This window comes from Homo sapiens, chromosome 2 (genome assembly GCF_000001405.40).
Source record: "Homo sapiens chromosome 2, GRCh38.p14 Primary Assembly".
Classification (NCBI taxonomy): domain Eukaryota; kingdom Metazoa; phylum Chordata; class Mammalia; order Primates; family Hominidae; genus Homo; species Homo sapiens.
Window position 1 is genome coordinate 155753966 of NC_000002.12, and position 22895 is coordinate 155776860.

The 22895-nt window shown below is 35.0% G+C and overlaps 1 long non-coding RNA gene across 1 annotated transcript in view; it reads right to left on the minus strand.

Annotated features, from left to right (window-relative positions):
- Positions 1–2099: 2099 nt before the first annotated feature.
- The window catches only part of LOC105373703 (uncharacterized), a 158249-nt gene continuing 137453 nt past the window's right edge, over positions 2100–22895 (minus strand). Inside the window, exon 7 of the long non-coding RNA XR_007088689.1 lies at positions 2100–5760. This is a non-coding gene — a long non-coding RNA (uncharacterized LOC105373703). The remainder of the gene's footprint in view (positions 5761–22895) is intronic.

The window sequence follows — 22895 nt, forward strand, 5'->3', positions numbered from 1 at the left end:
TGGAAGACAGTGTGGTGATTCCTCACGGATCTATAACTGGAAATACCATTTGACCCAGCAATCCCACTACTGGGTATTTTCCCAGAAGGAATAAAAATCATTCTATTATAAAGACACATGCACATGTATGTTTATTGCAGCACTATTCACAATAGCAAAGACATGGAATCAACCAAAAAGCCCATCAATGATAGACCTGATAAAGAAAATGTGGTATATACCTACTGTGGAATACTATGCAGCCATAACAAAGAACAAGATCATGTCCTTTGCAGGGACATGGATGAAGCTGGAAGCCATCACCCTTAGCAAACTTACCCAGGAACAGAAAACCAAACACCACATGTACTCACTCATAAGTGGGAGTTTAACAACGAGAACACATGGACACAGGGAGAGGAACAACACACACTGGGGCATGTCGGTGAGTGGGGTAGGGAGAACATCAGGACAAATAGCTAATGCATGCAAGGCTTAATACCTAGGTGATGGTTTGACAGTGTAGCAAACCACCATGGCATATGTTTACCTATGTAACAAAACTGCACGTTCTGCACATGTATCCCACAACTTAAAGTAAAATAAAATAACAAAAAAGTTGGACCCTGACAGTAAAGCTGAAACACTATAAAATATTTACCTGTAAAAATAAATAAAATAAAATAAAATAAAATAAAATAAAATAAAATAAAAATAAAGGTCATTGTAGGTGGATAGAGTTTCGTTCCAAATGAAGGGATTTTGTTCTGTGTTCCCTCTTATGCGGTGTTCTGGTCCCAATCCTGTTAGAGGATGTATTCTACCTTCACTTTACTAGACTTTTCAGCACAACCAAAGCATTTTTTAGATTAGCGTCTAATTATTATGCTAGTTTTATGTTATTAGAGATGTTTGGGGTAGGAGAAGCCTAAATTTGATAAGCAGTACTTTAGGGAGATTCAAAAATTTAAATTCATAGACTTATTGGTGTTGCATTCAGTGCTTCGGTGTATTCAGTGTTGTATTCAGATTCAATATTATTATTATAATTGCTATTATCTTATAATAAATATATAGATTACAGGAAATATTTGTCTGTGTGGTTTTTTGTGAAGATAAATTAGAAATTCATTATGGGTTTCAGGCCAAGTGCTTTTAGGTTAATTTTGTCAACATGAAGACTTTTTTATAAATAAAACCATATTTCTTGAAATGAACTTATTTTCAGGATAGACATTCTAAATTATTCAATTATATTTATTGGTGTAACTGGATCTAGAAAAAATAAATTAAATGCATAACTAGTTTCTGTATATATCAACTACAGGAAATAATTGTGTGGTTTTTTTGTGAAGAGAAATATCTTTGAATTGTATTACTAGGTATAATTCTCAAGAAATAGCCCTCTGCTCAGTTTTGAAACTAGTCTCCAATAAGAATAAGTATTGTAAGTAAATGTATTTGGAATCATTTTCTCTGAATAGATGGTTCTACACCCTGCTTGCTAAACATTTATTTCTTATGAATTAAGTTGAATACCTGAGTATCCTAGCCTAAGGTCCCAAATTTTTCCATTTGCCAAAATTGGAAAGGTTAAATTTATAACCTTTCTAATGACACTTGGAGCTGAACAATGATTCTTGATAGAGGTTATTATGCCAATATAGAAATTCTTCCTACATTTACAGAAGAAAACTATATACTGAAACAAGAATGCTACACTTTGCTTACCTCAGCACCTTTTTTTCTTTCACTTTAATGTTGACAATTAGAATTTACCATTAAGGATATTGCTACCAAATGATCTCTGTAGTTTAAGTCAAATTTATGAGGTATAGTATGGGAAAAATTGTAGCTTCCTCATCTTTGGAATTTAATAAAGTCTTCATGTTCAGTTTAAATTTTTTGATTTATTGTTTCTGCAATAAAGAGAATATCTCTCTTTTAATGCTTTTAAACAGTTACATTCAGACATATTGGCCTGTTCGATAATTTATTAATGTTTGCTTCCTTATGATCTTACTAATAAGCAATATGACCAAACTTAAAGTAGATTCAAAGTGTCTCAGTTTGTATTCTGTATTACCCATGCTTCAATTTTTAAAAAATAAACTGGAGGAATAAAATCTCAATTTTGGGAAAAGAGAAACTATATTATACACACAAAAATTAAATATATAGAAATTGTCAAACTTCCCTGCAGATATAATACATTCCAAAAACAACAATCCACTTGACTAAAGTAATTAGTAGCAATCAAACTGACTTATAATTGAGTGGAAAATAAAACCAGGTGAAAAGAGAGTGCTATGTGGTGCTCCCAGATGGGTTAATTGCACTAAAATCTTAATGAAGTATCTTAATTTCTAATAGAAATTGGAACTGGATACTAACATTTTTTCCCTGCCTTTGATGTCAAATCAAAGCAAAGTTTTTCTGAACACTTTGGTATGATATTACTAAATATGCTGCTGATAGTTCTTTCTACATTGTTTATTTTTCGTGGTTGTCTTAGGATAGACTATCTTCATTGCCTAGTCCAAAAAATTCCGACTTTGATACAAGCCAAAATTTCTTCTTGCATGTAGTACACATTCCGAATACTTATAGTACTCTTCTTAAACCTTGGGTTTTTGTCGAATTTTTCCTATTTTCTAGGTTGCTTTGATTGAATTCAGGAGATCCTACTTTGTACTTGAATAATTTTCAAGAACATTTTTTTCTGAGTCTCTCTCTTGCTGGCCTTTCTTTCTCTCACTACCACCACCCACCACCTCATCTCATATCACATTTTTTCTCAATAATTCTTGAGAGTGGGGCCTTAGATGAGCAAGTCCTTCACTTTTTAAATGACATTAAAGTTTTATAAAGATCTTAACCACATGGATGAAAGTAGGAAGAAAATAAAATAGCTGCAATTATCAAACATTACACGTGAAAGCAAGTATTTCCTTTCATTTCATAATTTTAAGTAACTGCTTTGTTTTCAGAAATCTAGTCACTATATTGAAATGTGGAACATGTAAAAGCTAAGAAATTAAAGCTTTATTATAGGTTTCAGGCCAACTGCTATTGGGTTAATTTTGTCAACATGAAGACCTTTTTAAAAATGAAATCATATTTCTTGAAATAAACTTATTTTCAGGACAGACATTCTAAATTATTCAATTGTATTTATTGGTGTAAATTGATTTAGAAAAAATGAATTAAATACATGAACTAATAATAGTTTCTATAAGATCACTGTGGCAAATTTTGCTTCTATACTTCACAGTTAAAATTTGCTATCTGGCTACTACAGACAGCAGCCAGTGAATCTCACTCAGCTTTATCAAACTATTGCTTGGCAATTCCTCATGTAGGGGATTGTATTTAAAATTTTCTTTGCCTTATGAACTGACAAGTTGATTGGCCTTCAGGCCTGGGATCTTGGGTCAGGCCATTGGTAAAGTTCAGTGGCTAAGAAAGAGGTCACTGATTACTATTTATAATTTGTTTTCTGATAATTTTAGCATGCACATGAACTCAGAGGCCATGGGTTGCAGTTTATAAATTAAAACAAATGAATAAAAATATGTACAACTAATTCTGGCCATTTTCAAAGCACTAAGATATTTGTTATATTCATTTAAATTAGTATGACATTATGCTTAACTTTAAGGCAGAGGTGGACAATAACAAAATATCATCTTGTCTGTTTCTTCTGAATTTTCAGATGAGTATTTATAAAAATAACACTGATGAAAAATTACAAAAGTCATAACAAAATATTAAAGGGGGACTATATTCATTTAAACCCAATTAGTAATTCTTTATTGCTATTTACTTTATTTCTTAATATTCAAGACTTTAAAAAATTACTTTATCTGTTTTATATTTACCATATAATGTTTCATATAAAAAATATCTTCTAGGCTTCTTGTCATTGGTAAATCTTCATCTCTTGCTATTTATTATTTATCGGTAAATTCTACTAATAATTTTTTGGGGTCAATGGTTTTATTCTGCTTGACAAACAAAAATTTGATATAAAATTTCTTATAGTTTTGTAGCAAATTTTGTTCTTATACTTAGTTAAGAAAATTCTTAATACCTTAAAAGAAGATATAACCATACTTTAAGTGAGTATTTTACTAAAAACAAAAAAACAAAACAGTAAATTAAATTTTTGTCTGCACACTAAGCATTAGTTAAATCAAAGTTTTTATAAATGTTATATAATAAATTAATTCTGAAAATGCTTTCTTTCCATTTGTATTTTCTTTTTGCTTGATTTTGATGGGACTCTATATCAATGAGGAATATAAGGTCATTTCAAAAGAACATGATTATATAACCTAAATCTAATCAAATTGGGAACAACAAAAAGAGGCTGGAGATCAGAAATTTAGCTATTTTTAACATCATCCTTATATGCAGAGGGCATAGGAAAAAGAGATTCTATGTTATAAAAATGCTCAGTAATTACTCAAAAATTACTTGACATGAAAATAATATACATGAGAATTTTAATAAAAAAGAGATGAATAGAAACTAACCTAGAGATTACCCAGATGTAAAATTTAACAATGAATTTGAAGCAATTATTATGAGTCTGTTCTGTTTCAACATGGATGAACCTAGATCACATTCTGTTAAGTGAAATAATCTGGACACAGAAAAACAAATACTGCATGCTCTCACATCTATGTAGATGTAAGTTCTGTAAAAGTTAAACTCGAGCCAGGCACAGTGGCTGACACTTATAATGCCAGCACTTTGGGAAGCTGAAGTGAGTAGATTGCTTGATTCCAGGAGTTCAAGACCAGCCTGGGCAACACGGCAAAACCTCATCTCTACAGAAAAATACAAAAAAAAAAAAAAAAATAGTGGTGCATGGTGGTGCACATCTGTAGTCCCAGCCACTCAGGAGGCGTGGAAAGATCAATCAATCCCAGGAGATAAGGTTGCAGTAAGCCATGATCACACCACTACACTCCAGCAAGGGTGACAAGGTGAGACACTGTTAAAAAATTAATAATAAAAATTAAAACTTACACTTATAGAAGCAGAGAATAGTATGGTAGTTGCCTGGGACTGGAGTGTGAGGGAAATGGGAAGATGTTAGTTTAAGGATACAAACTTTCAGTTATAAGATGAAAAAGTTCTGGGGATCTAATTTTCACCATGGGTAGTGATAGATGTGTGTTAATTTCATGTGCTAATCATTATATAATGTATACATATATCAAATCATCACATGTACACCTTAAATATATACAGTTCTTATTATAAAACCAATTATTTTTAAAGAACATTAGAAAATATGTAAACATAAAATGCAAAGATGACAATATTGCCATAAGATAAAAAAGTAATTTTTAAAAAGGCAATATTATATTGAGATATATTCCAAATAAGGAAATTAATCAACATACACTAGAATAAACATGTAAGTCAAAGAAAAATTATAAAGAAAATTTAAAAATATTTTGAAGTGAATCATAATAAAATACATCATATCAAAATTTTAGAGATGCATAAAGAACATTTATGCTATAACGAAAATAAGAACAGAACACTTTGAAAGAAAAATATTTAAGAAAATTAACAAAGACAAATATCTGTTTTTTGAAAATATACAATTTGTAAAAATCTTAGTAAGAGTTATCAAACAAAAATAAACCAAGGATTTGAGAGAACTCACATTTTCCCCATTTTTCCACTTTGTGGGCAGCCTTGGATATAGACTTGTGTGACAAGATGTCATTGAAGGAATGCCTTGACAGGACATTTATTTTTCTGGTGAGAGAGAATAGGAAAAGAAGAACTTGTGGTTAAAATGCTGAAGGAAGTCTTTATTAACTTTTTATGCTTTTTTATCTTGTTGCTTAGTCCTGAGGGTGATCCCAAGAGAGTGAAGCTCAGTCATAGTGAGAAACAAAGTTTCTGAGAATAAAACCTATTTTTCTAGCCAGAGAACCAAGAACTGGAAAGTGTAACATAGAGAAAATCTACATTAAGTGATCCGGAGAAAACGATGCGCTAAATGTGCATATTAACTCATAAAACTCTTGGGCTAATCCCCAAATGGAACTTGCGCAAGATAAAACCAAAACAACACAGAACATGCTGAGAACTAACTATAAAGTCAACTGCAGCCCAAATCCAAGACTAACCACTAAAAGGAACATGGGCAATATAGAGCTCAGTCATTTAGAAAAAGCTGTGAAAATTGAACTTATATTAGAACCATTGCCCACAGAAGTTGACATACAAGACTGATCAAACCTAACCAAGCTTATTGTCTGCAAAAACAAACAAAAATTAACTTTGAAGTGAGTATTAACAGCAGCAATAACCCCACAATATACTTTTCAAAATTTCATAGATACATCCAAAATTACTTGACATACTAAGAACTAGAACAATGTGACAAATTCCAAATGGTAAAAGTAATGTCGATTTCAAGATGGCTTAAAGGTTGAAATTATTAGTTAACAACTTTAAAGCACCTATTATAACAATGCTTCTTGAGGTAAAGGAAAACACTTGAAATGAACAGAAAAATTTAAGTACTCTTCTGACAAAACCTGTATTAAAAATATAAATTTTGGTACAAAAATATATTAATAATAAATGAATTTAAAACGCATTCACTTGATTGGATCAAGATGACAGAATAAAGAGTCCATGCACTTGAAGATAGATCAATAGAAATTATACAAGCTTAAAAATAGACAGAAAAACTTGAAAAATAACAGTCTCTGAAACTTATAAAACATCAAAAAATAATAGCATTTGTCCCAGAAAGAGAGGCAAGAGATTAGTGTGGAAAGTATATTTGATGAAATGGTGACCAAAACCTTTTCAAATTTGGTGAAAGACATAAATTTATAAATTTAACAAGCTCAGCCATCTTAAACAGAATAAACTCAAGGAAAGCCATTCCTAGACACAGTGGATTCAAAACACTAAAACCCACAGATGAAGAAAAATTATTGGAAGCATCCAGCGAAAAATGGCATGTTAATGGTCCACATTGTTTTATATAACTATGGATAAACCAGACAGGCCAGGAGGCAGTAAAATGAAACATTTAAAGTACTGAAAGAGCGGTCTGTTCAGTATTTTGTTGATGAGTTAATGTCCTTTGAAGGGACATGGATGACACTGGAAACCGTCATTCTCAGCAAACTAACACAAGAACAGAAAACCAAATACCGCATGTTCTCACTCACAAGTGGGAGTTGAACAATGAGAACACGTGGACACAGGGTGGGGACACATCACACACTGGGCCTGTTGGGGGAAAGGGAGCTAGGGGAGCGATAGCATGGGGAGAAATACCTAATGTAGGTGACGGGTTGATGGGTGCAGCAAACCATCATGGTACGTGTATACCTATGTAACAAAACTGCACATTCTGCACATGTACCCCAGAACTTAAAGTATAATTTAAAAAAAAAAAACACCATGACACAAGTTTATCTATGTAATAAACCTGCAATTGTACCCCTAAACTTAAAGTTTTTAGAAAAGAGAACAACTGGAAAGGAGCATGAAAAAATTCTCTGAAGTAATAAAAATGCTCTATATATTAATAGGGATGGGGATTACATGGCTGTTAGCTTTTGACAAAATTGAGTTAAAGCCTTCATTAATGCATTTCATACTTTGTAAATTTTATCCAAATAAAAGATAGAATAGTAAATAAATATCAAATTTCTTTTTTGTAGTAATATTTTAGTAATTTTGAAACTACTTTCTGTGTGTTATAGGCTTGAACAAATGAATAAAAATTTTGAAAATAATGAAATCCCAGTTTCTTACATTTGGGAATTTGAAATATCAATATGAACTCATAGTTTTTAAGACAGATAGACATAAACAAATAGATGAAGAAATGATATGACGTATGTCATACTCCGTTTCTCTGCCCACTAAGAAAGAGGGCCTAGGAGCAATGACAGGTAGAAAATGAGCACACCTAGTACACTGATCTTGGTTTCTAAATACCATTTTCCATTAAAGTTTGCCAGGGCTTTATGAAGAAAAAGCTGACTCCAAGCTTGAGATATGAAAGTTAATAAATGAGCCTGAAATATCTTCTACTGTGTTCAATAACAAAATACTCAAAGAATGATGGAGACACATCAAAAAGACATAAATTCCAGATTTAAGACAGTCTCACTGAACAAATGTAATATACACTGGGAACCAAAAATAAACAATGATATTTATGGAATACATTGCACAAAATATAAATCCATGAGTAATCCTAATGAAAATAAATTAACAAATAAATAGAAAACTGTAGAGTTTATCAGACATTCATAGCTGTTTTTAGGAGGATGTATCTGTTTCATTATACTGGTGAAAAGAGAATTTCTTACAATCAAATTGGATTGCTAAATATATACCACCGTGGCTTATACCTCATATGAACATAATAAACATCTGTAAAATTTGGGAATAAAATATAGTAAGAAAAGCAAGTGATATTATATTCACTCAATGGTTTTCTTTTCAATAAAAATACCAATATAATGTTTTCAATTAATATTGAGACAATTTATCCAAACTACATGTTTTTATCATGTTTCAACAGATTACTTACTCAATCATAGAAAAAACTACTCCTCCAAACAGCAGTCTCTTCTCGATGCTTTCCATGATAGAGTTCCCAAATATTTCACAAGGGAATCCCATACAGAGAAGAAGAGACACACACACTGCCAGAAATGGGACAACAGGGAGCTTACTAGGATATTAATACACGTGAGTTACAGTAAATTAACCTAAATGAAGAGCTGCCACATACAGCATTGTGCCTACCGATTGCAAGTGAACAATTCTGGATGAACTGCCAGCTATCACTTATTCACTAGGCATCAGTAATGTTTGCTTCTAGTTGCAACAGTGACAAAGAACAAAATTTGAGACTAGTTTTAGTAATTTTGCTCCTGTTATATTCTCAAACACAGAATATGCATTATTTGCTATTGATTATTTTTATTTGTAAAGGCCATGAACCCCAAATTCTGTTATAGTTTCAAATTTTGCTAACCTAAATGCTTAAAAAAATACTTGTCATGTCTTTTCTTGTTTTAATTTGCAGTTATTCTCTTCTAACCCTTTTTTCCCTGGCTTTCACTAATATACATGACATTAAGCATTTGTCAAAACCTATAGAACTTTACAACACAAAGAGTGAATATGAATGTATGTAAAATCCAAGGATCTTCTTACTATTCCATGCTTGTGCTCTATGAGGATATCTCAATAAAAGATAACAGGAGATGTGACACTGAGAATCTGTAAGGTTTCATATGGCACATAAATTGAGCTATTTACTTTTTTCCCTGGAACACAGTATCTACTATAACAGAATATGAATGGAAGGAGGTGTTTGGCATAAAAAGCTGAGGCTGTGATGTTGACTTGAAAGTTAGTGGATGAAATGAATCACTTCATTCTGTTTATGTGATGGATTACATTTATTGATTTGCATACATTGAACCAGCCTTGCATCCCAGGGATGAAGCCAACTTGATTATGGTGCATAAGCTTTTTGATGTGCTGTTGGCTTCGGTTTGCCAGTATTTTATTGAGTATTTTGCATCAATGTTCATCAGGGATATTATTCTGAAATTTTCTTTTTTTGTTGTATCTCTGCAAGGTTTTGGTATCAGGATGATGCTGGCCTCATAAAATGAGTTAGGGAGGAGTTTCTCTTTTTCTATTGTTTGGAATACTTTCAGAAGGAATGGTACCAGCTCCTCCTTGTACCTGTGGTAGAATTTGGCTGTGAATCCATCTGGTCCTGGACATTTTTTGGTTGGTAGGCTATTAATTGCTGCCTCAATTTCAGACTTGTTATTGGTCTACTCAGGGATTTGACTTCTTCCTGGTTTAGTCTTGGGATGGTGTATGTGTCCAGGAATTTATCCATTTCTTCTAGATTTTCTACTTTATTTGAATAGAAGTATTTATAGTATTATCTGAGAGTAGTTTGTATTTCTAGGGGATTGGTGGTGATATCCTTTTTATCATTTTTATTGCATCTATTTGATTCTTCTGTCTTTTCTTCTTAATTAGTCTGGCTAGTGGTCTATCTATTTATTGATCTTTTCAAAAAATACCTCCTTGATTCATAGATTTTTTGAAGGGTTTTTCATGTCTCTATCTTCTTCAGTTCTGCTCTAATCTGAGTTATTTCTTGTATTCTGCTAGCTTTTGAATTTGTTTGCTCTTGCTTCTGTAGTTATTTTAATTGTGATGTTAGGGTGTTGATTTTAGATCTTTCCTGCTTTCTCTTGTGGGCATTTAGTGCTATAAATTTCCCTCTACATACTGCTTTAAATGTGTCTCAGAGATTCTGGTACGTGTGTCTTTGTTCTCATTGGTCCCAAAGAACATCTTTATTTCTGCCTTAATTTTGTTATTTACCCAGTAGTCTTTCAGTAGCAGGTTGTTCAGTTTCCTTGTAGTTGTGCAGTTTTGAGTGAGTTTCTTAATCCTGAGTTCTAATTTGATTTCACTGTCTGAGAGACTGTTATGATTTCCGTTCTTTTGCATTTGCTGAGAAGTGTTTTACTTCCAATTCTGTGGCCAATTTTAGAATAAGTGCGATGTGGTGCTGAGAAGAATCTATATTCCATTGATTTGGGGTGGAGAATTCTGTAGATGTGTATTAGGTCTGCCTGGTGCAGAGCTGAGTTCAAGTCCTGGATATCCTTGTTAATTTTCTGTCTCATTGATTTGTCTAATATTGACAGTAGGGTGTTAAAATCTCCCACTGTTATTGTGTGGGAGTCTAAGTCTCTTTGTAGCTCTCTAAGAACTTGTTTTATGAATTTGGGTGCTCCTGAATTGGGTGCATATATATTTAAGATAGTTAGCTCTTCTTGTTACATTTATCCCTTTACCATTTTGTAATGACCTTCTTTGTCTTTTTTGAGTTTGTTGGTTTAAAGTCTGTTTTATCAGAGACTAGGATTGCAACCCCTGCTTTCTTTTGGCTTTCCATTTGCTAGGTAAATATTCCTCCATTCCTTTATTTTGAGCCAAAGTGTGTCTCTGCACATGAGATGGGTCTCCTGAGTACAGCACACCAATGGGTCTTGACTCTTTATCCAATTTGCCAGTCTGTATATTTTAATATGCGCATTTAGTCCATTTACATTTAAGGTTAATAAATTTGTGTGTGAATTTGATCCTGCCATTGTGATTCTAACTTGTTATTTTACTCATTAGTTGATGCAGTTTCTTCATAGCATTGATGGTCTTTACAATTTGGTATGTTTTTGCAGTGGCTGGTACTGTCTGTTCCTTTCCATGTTTAGTGCTTCCTTCAGGAACTCTTGTAGGGCAAACCTGGTGGTGAAAATAATCTCTCAGCATTTGCTTGTCTGTAAAGTATTTTATTTCTCCTTTGCTTATGAAGCTTAGTTTGGCTGGATATGAAATTCTGGGTTGAAAATTCTTTTCTTTAAGAATGTTGAATATTTGCTGCCACTCTCTTCTGGCTTGTAGGCTTTCTGCTGAGAGTTCTGCTCTTAGTCTGATGGGCTTCTTTTTGTGGGTAACCTGACCTTTCTCTCTGGCTGCCCTTAACATTTTTTCCTTCATTTCAACCTTGGTGAATTTGATGATTATGTGTCTTGGGGTTGCTATTCTCGAGGAATATCTTTGTGGTGTTCTCTGTATTTCCTGAATTTGAATGTTGGCCTGCCTTGCTAAGTTGGGGAAGTAATATCCTGAAGAGTGTTTTCCAGCTTGGCTCCATTCTCCCTATCACTTTCAGGTACACCAAACATAGGTTTGGTTTTTTCACATAGTCCCATACTTCTTGGAGTCTTTGTTCATTTCTTTTCACTCTTTTTTCTCTAATCTTGTTTTCTTGCTTTATTTCATTGAGTAGGTCTTCCATCTCTGATATCCTTTCTTCCACTTGATTGATTCAGCTATTGATACTTTTGTATGCTTCACAAAGTTCTCCTGCTGTGTTTTTCAGCTCCATCAGGTCATTTTTGTTCTTCTCTAAACTGATTATTCCAGTTAGCAATTCCCCTAACCTTTTTTCAAGGTTCTTAGCTTCCTTGCATTGGGTTAGAATATGCCCCTTTATCTCAAAGGAGTTTGTTATTACCCACCTTCTGAAGCCTAATTCTGTTAATCTGTCAAACTCATTCTCCATCCAGTTTTGTTCCCTTGCTGGCGAGGAGTTGTGATCCCTTGGAGGAAAAGAAGCATTCTGGTTTTTGGAATTTTCAGCCTTTTGGCACTGGTTTCTCCCCATCCTCATGGGTTTATCTACCTTTGGTCTTTGAAACTGGTGACCTTTGGATGGGGTATCTGAATGAACGTCCTTTTTGTTGATGTTGATACTATTCCTTTCTGTTTGTTAGTTTTCCTTCTAACAGTCAGGCCCCTCTACTGCAGATCTGCTAGAGTTTGCTGGAGGTCTGCTCCAGACCCTGTTTGCCTGGCTATCACTGGAGGAGACTGAAGACCACCAAAGATTGCTGCCTGTTCCTTCCTCTGGAAGTTTCGTCCCAGAGGGGCACCTGCCAGATGCCAGCCAGAGCTCTCCTGTATGTTGGCCTCTACTGAGAGGTGTCTCCAACTCAGGAGCCACGGGCATCAGGGACCCACTTGAGGAGGCAGTCTGTCCCTTTTCAGAGCTTGAATGCTGTGCTGGTCGATCTGCTGCTCTCTTCAGAGCTGCCAGGTAGGGAGGTTTAAGTCTGCTGAAGCTGCACCCACAGCAGCCCCTTCCCCCAGGTGCTCTGCCCCATGGAGGTGGGGGTTTTGTCTATAATTCCCTGACTGGGGCTGCTACCTTTTTTTCAGAGAGGCCTTGCCCAGAAAGGAGGCCTTCTGACCGCAATGGCCTTTTTGAGCTGGGGTCCACCACTTAGAACTTCCTTGCAGCTTTGTTTACACTGTGAGGGTGAAACCACCTACTCGAGCTTCAGCAACAGCCCCTCCCCCGACCAAGCTCCAGCGTCTCAGGTCGATCTCAGACTGCTGTGCTGGTGTGAGAATTTCAAGCCAGTGGATCTTAGCTTGCTGGGCTTTGTGGGGGTGGGACCCACTGAGCCAGACCACTTTGCTTCCTGTCTTTAGCCCCCTTTCCAGGGGAGTAAATGGTTCTGTCTCACTGGTGTTTCAAGTGCCACTGGGGTACGGAAAAAAACTGTGGCTAGCTCGGTGCCTGCCCAAACAGCCACCCAGTTTTGTGTTGGAAACCCAGGGCCCTGGTGGTGTAGGCACTGGAAGGAATCTCCTGATCTGTGGGTTGCGAAGATCATGAGAAAAGCACAGTGTCTGGGCTGGAGAGCATGTTACAGTCCCTAATGGCTTCCCTTGGCTGGGAGAGGGAGTTCCCTGACCCCTTGTGCTTCCCCGGTGAGGTGACACCCCACCCTGCTTTGGCTCGCCCTCCTTGAGCTGCATCCACTGTCCAACCAGTCCCAGTGAGATGAACCGGGTGCCTCAGTTGGAAATGCAGAAATCACCCACCTTGTGCGTCAATCTCACTGGGAGCTACAGACTGGAGCTGTTCCCATTCAGCCACCTTGCCAGCCAACTCAAGTTTTGCTTATTTTCTTGTGGATGTTTTAAGCTTAGATTTCTCTTCCTTCTCTAGTTTTCTATGATAGAAACTTAGATTATTGATGTTAGATATTTCTTTTCAAAAATATTCACTCAATTCTATAAATTTTCATCCGAGTACTTCTTTGGCTATATCAAATTTTGGTAAGTTGTAATTTCACATTTATTTATTAAAAAATATTTGCTTAACTTGCTCTGAGGCCATTAATAATGGCTCACAGTTGTAATTCCTGCATTTTGGGAGGCCAAAGTGGGCAGATTTCTTGAACTCAAAGAGTTTAAGACAAGCCTATGCAACATAGCCAAACCCCATCACTACCAAAAAAAAAAAAAAAATTAGCTGGGCAAGGTGATGTGCTGTAGTTCCAGCTACTTGGGAGGCTAAAGTGGCAGGATTGCTTGAGCCCAGCAGGTGGAGGTTGCAGTGAGCTGAGATCATGCAACTCACCCCGGCCTGGGTGACAAAGCCAGACCCTGTCTCAAAAATAAAATAAAATAAAATAAAATTCCTGGGGACTTTGTTAAGCTATGCATTATTTAGAAGTGTGTTGTTTAATGTAATGTAATGTAATTCTATTGATTTCCAATTTAATTTTATTGTGCTCTAAAAGCATACTTTTTATTCTTTTAAATTTGTTAAAGTGTGTTTTATGGCCCAGAATGTGGTCTACCCTGGTGAAGGTTCCAAGCTTAAAAAGAATGATTATTCTGCTGTCCCTGGATGTAGCATTCTATAAATGTCAGTTGGATTCAGCTGATTAATGATGCTAGTCATTTCATATATATTTTTACTGATGTTCTACCTGCTTGGTCTATCAAGTGAAAAAGAGATTTTTAACTTACTTTGATGTATTTAGACCATTCACATTTAAAGTAATCATTGATAGAGTAGGGTTAATATCTACCATGTTTGTAACTATTTTCTAATTTTTTGCACTTGCTCCTTCCTTCCTTTTACCCCTTTTCCTGCCTTTTCTGGTTTTAATTGAGAATTTTATGTAATTCCATTTTTCTCTCCTTTTCTAACATATCAATTGTACTTTAAAAAATTGTTGTCCAGGCGTGGTGGCTCACACTTCTAATCTCAGCACTTTGGGAGGCTAAGGCAGGAGGATCACTTGAGCCCAGGAGTTCAAGGTGGCATTGAGCTGCGATCATGCCACTGCACTCCAGCCTGAGTGACAGAGCAAGACCGTGTCTCAAGAAAAAAACAAATGTGTTTCCTAAAGTTTGCAATATGATTGTAAAAGTAATGTAATTCTTGTTTGAATTAACACTAGCACTTCTCAACTAGTGCAGGTACATATAACAGAGTATACTCAATTCCTTCTTCCAGTTCTTAAAGAGAACATTGCAGTTATTCGTTCATTTATTTATCTGTTATAATCACACAATACATTGCTACCATTATTACTTTGAACAATTCTCTAAGTCAATTAAGAATAAGAAAAATAATAAATATATTTTACCTTCATTTGCTTTTTCTCCAGCACTGTTTATGTAAATCTGAGTTTCTGATTTACATAAAGTTTCTGATTTTCTGCTAATCTGGCTGGGAGTTGAGCTGTGATTGAAGGTTGCCACAGTTATAGGTGTCAAGATTTTCTAATTTCCCCTATGGCTGTTGTTTTACCCTTCTTTGTTATATTTTAGTTCCCTAAGGATTCCTTCTAAAATACAGTCTGTACCTTGCAGCTCCTCCAGCTCTAATCAACTGTTACTATACCAGAGCCCTGAGTGTGGGTGTTCTATGATGTTATGATTAAATCTCAGTCTTTTAGTGGCCTATATCCCTGTGCTGTGACCTTTATAAGTGTTTCTTATGTTGTTTTGTTGTTTGTTTCCCTTTCTTCCTTCTGAGGTGAGGTAGGAAGGCTAGACTTGACTAGAGTTGGGTAATTGCCCTTTCGCAGAATAGGTAAGATAAATTTCTGATAAAATCTTCTTCGCTAGATTATAGGCCTTTGTTATATAAAACACACTGGGCATATTTCAAGTGTTCACTTCTTTCCTTCTCTGCCAATGACTAAAGATGTTTTTTCTTGGCTCTTCACAATGACTACCTGAAGGAGCTCCTGGAGGTAAAACCCATGGAAGTGTGAAGACTCTCTAAGACTGAATGCCCAGGAGCGTCCCACTCTCAGGCTAGCTCACACCCCGCATCCAGAAGTTTATCACAAATACTATATATGTCCCTTCCAGTTTATGGCTCAGATGGCTTCTGCTCCACTAATGTAATCTCAGCTGTGCTTCTGTATACTAATCTCTCTTTTCAGATTTCAAAATAGTGATTTTCCTTGTGTTCTCAATTCTTTGATGGATCCAAAAATAGTCATTGATTCTGTTTCTTTAGACTTCTTCTTGTTCTAGAGAGAGAAGTAATGATTTTCCAGCACTGTACATATAGGAGCTAAAAGTAAAAGTCCTCAAAACTGGTTTGTAAAATAAGAAGGCACCTTGATGAATTCTATGCTGGTAATTGAAAAACTTACATGCAACTCTGTTATTGCTCAATTATTATCACATCACATGTGAATGAATTTTGGGAAGCATTATCAGTCATCGTTGTCATCATCATCACCAACATCATCACCATCATTTTGTTACACTTCCTCAGGTTGTAAAAGTTGGTAAAATGTGGTGGTGAAATTGTGTTTTCAACACAACTTCTTAAACAAAAAAGTCCGCAAGTGCCTGTAATCCCAGCTACTTGGGAGGCTGAGGAAGGAGGATTGCTTGAGCCTGGGAGGTGGAAGTTGCAGTGAGCCAAGATCGTGCCACTGCACTCCAGTCTGGGTGATAGAGCAAGACTGCATCTAAAAAAAAAAAAAAAAAAAAAATTCCTTCCTGTGAAGTGACACCACCTAACTAAGGATTTACTTCAGTTACATACAAGAGCATATCTAGGTATAAAACATAAGTATAAATGTTTGTCTAACATACCAATTTCAAAATGAAAAAACAAAAAGGAGTAAACAACTTACCAGTGGTTTAATACATCAAAAAGTAGAACTGATGCATTTTTAGAATCATGTCTTCAGACTGATCAAGGACATCAAATTCTTTAAGACAGATGACTATTCTGGGATGAATTTTAAAATGCACTGTACATACCTCTGCAAACTAGACATAAAATGATAAGAAATTCTTGCTAACATTCCTAACGCTAACTTTCATGGGAACCAGACCTCTTGGGAAATATAGTCCTTTGGTGTAAATGCTTAAATACAGAGTTATGTGAGCTGTGCAGGCAATGAAATATGATGAGATTTACTTTTAGTTAGAACTTAACTGAGACTTAGAATGATTCTGGAATGAGACTTCCAATGGTGAAAGATAAATGTCTAAATTTACTGTCCCTCTTAATCCTAAACTTTTTCCATAAATCCCCCCATTCCTCTTTATTAATGTAGTACAAGAATAAAAGACAAATTGGTGAAACCATGATCTAAGAATTTGTTTGCAGTACCACTGATTATGCCATTTTTTAATTCAAATGACTTTAGTGGCTAAGGTTTAGGTCCCCCAAAATTCTCATTTTTTGAGGCTTTTGAAAGTTATTTGCATAATTGCAAATAACCTAAAATTATTCTTACAGACATACAAAAAGTATTTTGTAAGTATTTACCAAGGGTGGGTGGTATTTCGCCTATTATAAAGAAATTTGTGTAATTTTAAAAAGTCTCCTTTTTCCTAATACAAATTTATTTTTTCCTTCTCCTTCAGTGCTCAAAATAGAAAGATTTAAAAAAACCCACACGCTAAATCTAATTCTCTCATCATTTTCTTAAAGGCTACTGAAAGGTATTTTCAAATAGGAATAATCCAATTAGCAATGATGGTTCAATCCAAGAAAAAAAATTTAGTTTCTCAATAGGTACCCATGAAGAACTGTTTATGGGCTGGCCTACAAAACTACATAAAATTTAATTTATATGTAAGTTTATAATAAATACAAACGTATGCATGAGGGCTAGATTATTTATAAAATGTTATATGTTTACAGAGGTCAAGACTTTTTTTCTTGTGTATCTTATAGCATATGGTATAGGCTAAAATTAGTGTAAACTTCAAACTACTACATTGTCACGTTTATGGACCCTTCACCTCTACCATACTGGGAGTTTATCAAAGGTAGTATTCATTGCCTGTTTTATACTGGATCCTAAATACATTGCTGTTAAATGAAACTGCACAAATTGAAATGTATGTGCTATGACTTCTTTCCCAAAATATGTTGTGAGATCCTTGAAGGTAGGCACATTTCTTTGTTTCTTTTTTTTTTTTTCCTTTACTTTTTGGTGCCTAGAACATGGTCAATTGATCAGCATACCCTAAGGATAGTGTAACCATTGTTACAAATCACTGGTTCTGGCCCGGATCACAGACTTGCTTTCTTTGGATCATGCAATGACTTTTAAGAACTAGAATTAGGTGCCAATACTTTTAACGTTGGGAAATTTTATATTTTTTAAACAGATCTAGATGTTTTGCTTTAATCCAAAAAATTGGTAGGTGCAGCCACAAAAGACCTACACTCACACATACCACCCTCCACTGAAGACGCTCCTGTCGAGGTGGGGAGAGCACACTCCACTTAGCACAGTCTGCTACCAGGTTGTTTTGCTTATTTACATTACTTCCCTGGATCCTCTGGGGTTTGAATTTTCTACCATTTATCTTCTTTAAATATTAATTTTCATGAAGTGTTCTGGATATACTAGTCTCAGTGGATGCTCTAAGGAAAAAAGAAAAATCACAACAACAACAAACTTAACTAAACTTGTTTACCCAACATTTTCAGACACTGTTGGCTGCAGAGGCCTTTAAAGATATGTAACAGATATGTAATGATACATAACAGAACTAGCAATTCATGGTACATATTTAATATTTATATCAGTAAGTTAAATGTTCTCACCCACTGAAAATATATGACTTGTCTTGTCCAGGCTCCTTTAGTTTGAGGCAAAGTTTATATGCTAACATATTTTTGTGGAGCAAGAGGATGAAAAAGATTTGCAATCCCAGGGCAACAAGAGTATGGGTAAAAGGAGATTAAAACAGAGAAAGAGGAAACGCTATCCTAAGGTGGTACTCCACTAAGCCAGTCAGGCCTCGTAATGACACGTAGCTGAATGCTCAACAACACCAGGTACCACTGGACTGGCCATATGGAGCCATCATGCCTTAGAACAACCATTGCTGGTTCCTTGTTGCCTTCTGTCTCTCACTGACGAAAATTCCCTGCCTATTTTAAGTTAGTTAGCTGTCCCCTACAGGTAGACACTAGGAAAGCCATACTCAGCCACAAGCATTAGGAGACGAGATTGCCAGTGACGCCTAAGAATCTTCAGTAGGCAAATGGTCCAGAAGGTAAGTAGGAAGTATCAAACCTGGAAGGTAGATAGAGTTTGATATACTCCTTAAAAGGTGATACTTCACTCTGAAAATTTAATGCAGCAAGAACAAAGCAGGAGTTTTCCAGTTTGTATCTGTTTCCACTAAAATCATGGCATTTCTGCCTTCCAAGACTGGCTATCTTCCATTCTTACATGAAATCAAAAATATTGCAAATGTATTCACAATAATTATGTTTAAATGTACTTTATGTCAATAATGTGCAAATAAAGACTGTAGCTAAAACCTGCTTTCTTCCTTGGAAGACAATAATTGTTTAAAAAAAAATGAAGACAAAGTAAAAAATCCCATTTATACTCTCTGGGATCTAAGTTTGAAGAATTATAACAAATATACCATAATATTTTCTGCTAATGATGTAAAGAGCTTAAAATTATTGTTTCTTTAGAAAGAAAAGTTTCTATGTGGTATACTTACACCATGGAATACTACGCAGCCATTAGAAGAATGAAATCATGTCTTTTGCAGTAACATAGATGGAGCTGGAGGACATTGTCCTAAGTGAAGTAACTCAGAAATAGAAAGCCAAATATTGCATGTTTGCACTTGTAAGTGGAGGCTAAACAATGGTTACACATGGACATAAGATGGAATAATAAATACTGGAGACTCCAAAACAGGGAGACAAGGGACGAAAAGTTATTTATTAGGAACAATATTTACTCTTCGGGTGATGGGTACGCTAGAAGCCCAATTCCCACCAGTATGTGATATATCCATGTAACAAACATGCACATGTACCCACTGAATCTAAAATAAAATTAAATCTTTAAAAATAGAGAATTCTCTTTCAGGATACTGGATATGAGGAGAGTATAAAGAAAGATTCAATTATTTCATTATTTGATAGACACATTTATTTTCCATTGCTTCATTTTTGTTTCTCCACTCTATATTCCTATGTTCATTTTTTTCACCTAGATATTACCTTTTTCAAAAAATTCAGAGCAATTTTAGGTTTATAGCAAAATAGAGCAGAAAGTACACAGAGTTCCCATATGACCCCTGTACACAGAGAAGCACGGCCTTGTCCACTACCAATATCTTACACAGAGTGGTAAATTTGTTACAATCAGCAGGCATACACGGACACATAATTATCACTCAAACTCATGGATATGACCTTTGATGTTGCATCTAAAATGTCATTCAATACAATAGCAAATACAAATAGCAAAGAATTCTCAGTCTCTCCACCTACAAACACTTCACACTTTATTTTTCTGCATTTTTGCATAGGAGATTTTCTCCTATGTTATAGTCTAAGAGTTTTACAGTTTACATTTATGTGTAAAATCCCTTTAGAGTTAACTTTTGTAAAGGGTATAAGGTCTGTATCTAGATTCGTTTTTTATCATGTAGATACTGTATCCAGTTGTTCCAAGCACCATTTGTTGAAAAAACTACCTTTTCTTTGTTTCTTTGCCTTTGTTTCTTATCAAAGATCAGTTTACCTTATTTGCGTAGGTCTGTTTCTGAGCTATCTATCCTGTTCCATGGATCTATTTGTGTATTCTTCTGCCCACTACCATACTGTCTTGATTACTGTAGCTTTACAGTAAGTTTTAAGGTTTGATAGTGTCAGTCCTTTGACTACTTTTCTCATTCAATATTGTGTTGCCTATTCTGGGCTTTTCTCCTCTTCATATAAACCTTAGAATCAATTTGTCAACATGTTCAAAATATTTTGCTAGGATTTTGATTGTGATTGCATTAAATCCATGGACATGTTAGTAATACTGAGTCTTCCTATCCATGAACATGAAACATCTCTTAATTTATTTTGTTCTTCTTTAATACCTTTCATCAGAGTGTTGCAATTTTCTTCATATATATTTTGTACTTATTCTGTATATGTATTTGTGGAATTCCTAAGTATTTCATTTTGGAGGGTGCTAATGTAAATGATACTGTATTTAAAATTTCTAATTTCAGCTGTTCAACTTTGGTATGAATGCTTACTTAAAATTCACAATACTGTAAGGTGAGTTTTATTATATTTTTGATACACATGAAGCCACTGAGTCTTATAGAAGCTAAGTAATTTGGTCTTGGTCGCATCAACAGTTAAGTAGCAAATGGAATTTGACCCCAAAACTTTCTGGCTTCAAAGTTCTCCCCCACCTCTATGACTCACAGCCTTCGGTGATCACAGTAATCTACACACAGCTATCACACATTTGATGGAAAATTATAAATATTGCACAACTATAGTAATGTGGACATCTTCAGTTCCTGAGTCTCTTCAGGGACAAGATTTAATATAAAATGGTTGTTGATAACATAGTTTACAGTCTCTTCACCTGTTCTTCTGCTCTCAGGTGAGTTTGCCCAAGCAAAGGTCAAGTTTGAAGTCCCTAAGCATTTTACGTGCTTTGATAAGGCAGAGACTGAAGTTATATTTTCCTAGTCCTCTTTGAATATGACCTCAGAATATAACCGTGCCACAAAATATTCCAGAAAGCATGTCATTTGGAGAATTAAAGATGGCTTTGCTTTCCCCAAACTTCACTGAAATTAAGACAATTTTAATGAATTTTCAAAGACTGAGCAAGATATTTTTGGCAACATTACTTCTTACCTGGGACATTCAGAAAATATGTAAACTCTCAGTGTTCTGTTGAAAACATGCAACAATTATTCTGTAAATGTTCCCAACACTTTACATATATATATAAAAGACAATTTTATTGTGCTTTCTTCATGCAGCTGCCTTCTCTTCTCATTTCATTAGTCTTAGAGTTTTCCTACATCGCAACAAATACTTGTATCCATCCATAAATAAATTCAGGCTGTTTAGGTAAATGAAATTACAACATGTAAATATTGTTTTACATTTATTTATTCAGAAGAAGCAATTGTACAAACAGAAAAGTTGGAGTAGTGAATCATCCACCTTATAATGCCATCCAAGATAGCACTGGTATTCCAGTGGTAGCAAATACCTGGGTATTCCCAAACTTGTCTTGAATACTTATGCCATCTCTTGGTATAAATGAAGCTTTTCTTTTTCAAGTTTTCCTTTCACTCTACATATACTTCAAGCACACCATTTGTATCAGTGGCTTCAAGTCTCAACTGAAATATAGATTCTAAATATTGACCATTGCCAAATCTATGTCTCTAGCACAGAACTCAAAAGTTTTGGAATACTATGCAGCCACAAAAAAGGATGAGTTCCTGATCTGTGGAGGGACATGGATGAAGCTGGAAACCATCATTCTCAGCAAACTAACACAAGAACAGAAAACCAAACACCGTATGTTCTCACTCATAAGTGGGAGTTTAACAATGAGAAAACATGGACACAGGGAAGGGAACATCACACACAGGGGCCTGTCAGAGGGTAGGGGGTTAGGGGAGGGATAGCATTAGGAGAAATACCTAATGTAAATGATGGGTTGATGGATGCAGCAAACCACCATGGCACATGTATACCTATGTAACAAACCTGCACGTTCTGAACATGTATCCAAGAACTTAAAGTATAATTTAAAAAATAAAATAAATAAGAATTACTCACCCATTAAAAAAAAAGATAATGTATTTTCCAGTGTGCTTTACTTTTATTTTCTTAGGCTCTAGTTTTACATTTCCATTTAGCTTTATTTTCTCTCTTTTTCTTTTTGACCTCTCAGAGGATGCTACACTATAATTTCATGGGTATTCCCTATACATATTCAGTTGGTCCCTACTTGTCTCTGTTCTCCCAGGGACTTAGTCTTTGCACTGATGTCTTCACTTCAGCTTGCATTTACTCTATTCTCAATGGCTGACTCTTCTTTCATCACACCTGAAGGCTTTTTCTCCTTCTATCTGACACACAAAAAACTCCATTTTTATATGACTTTAAAAATATTTTCCCATTATAATCTAAATTTCTTGTAATTATA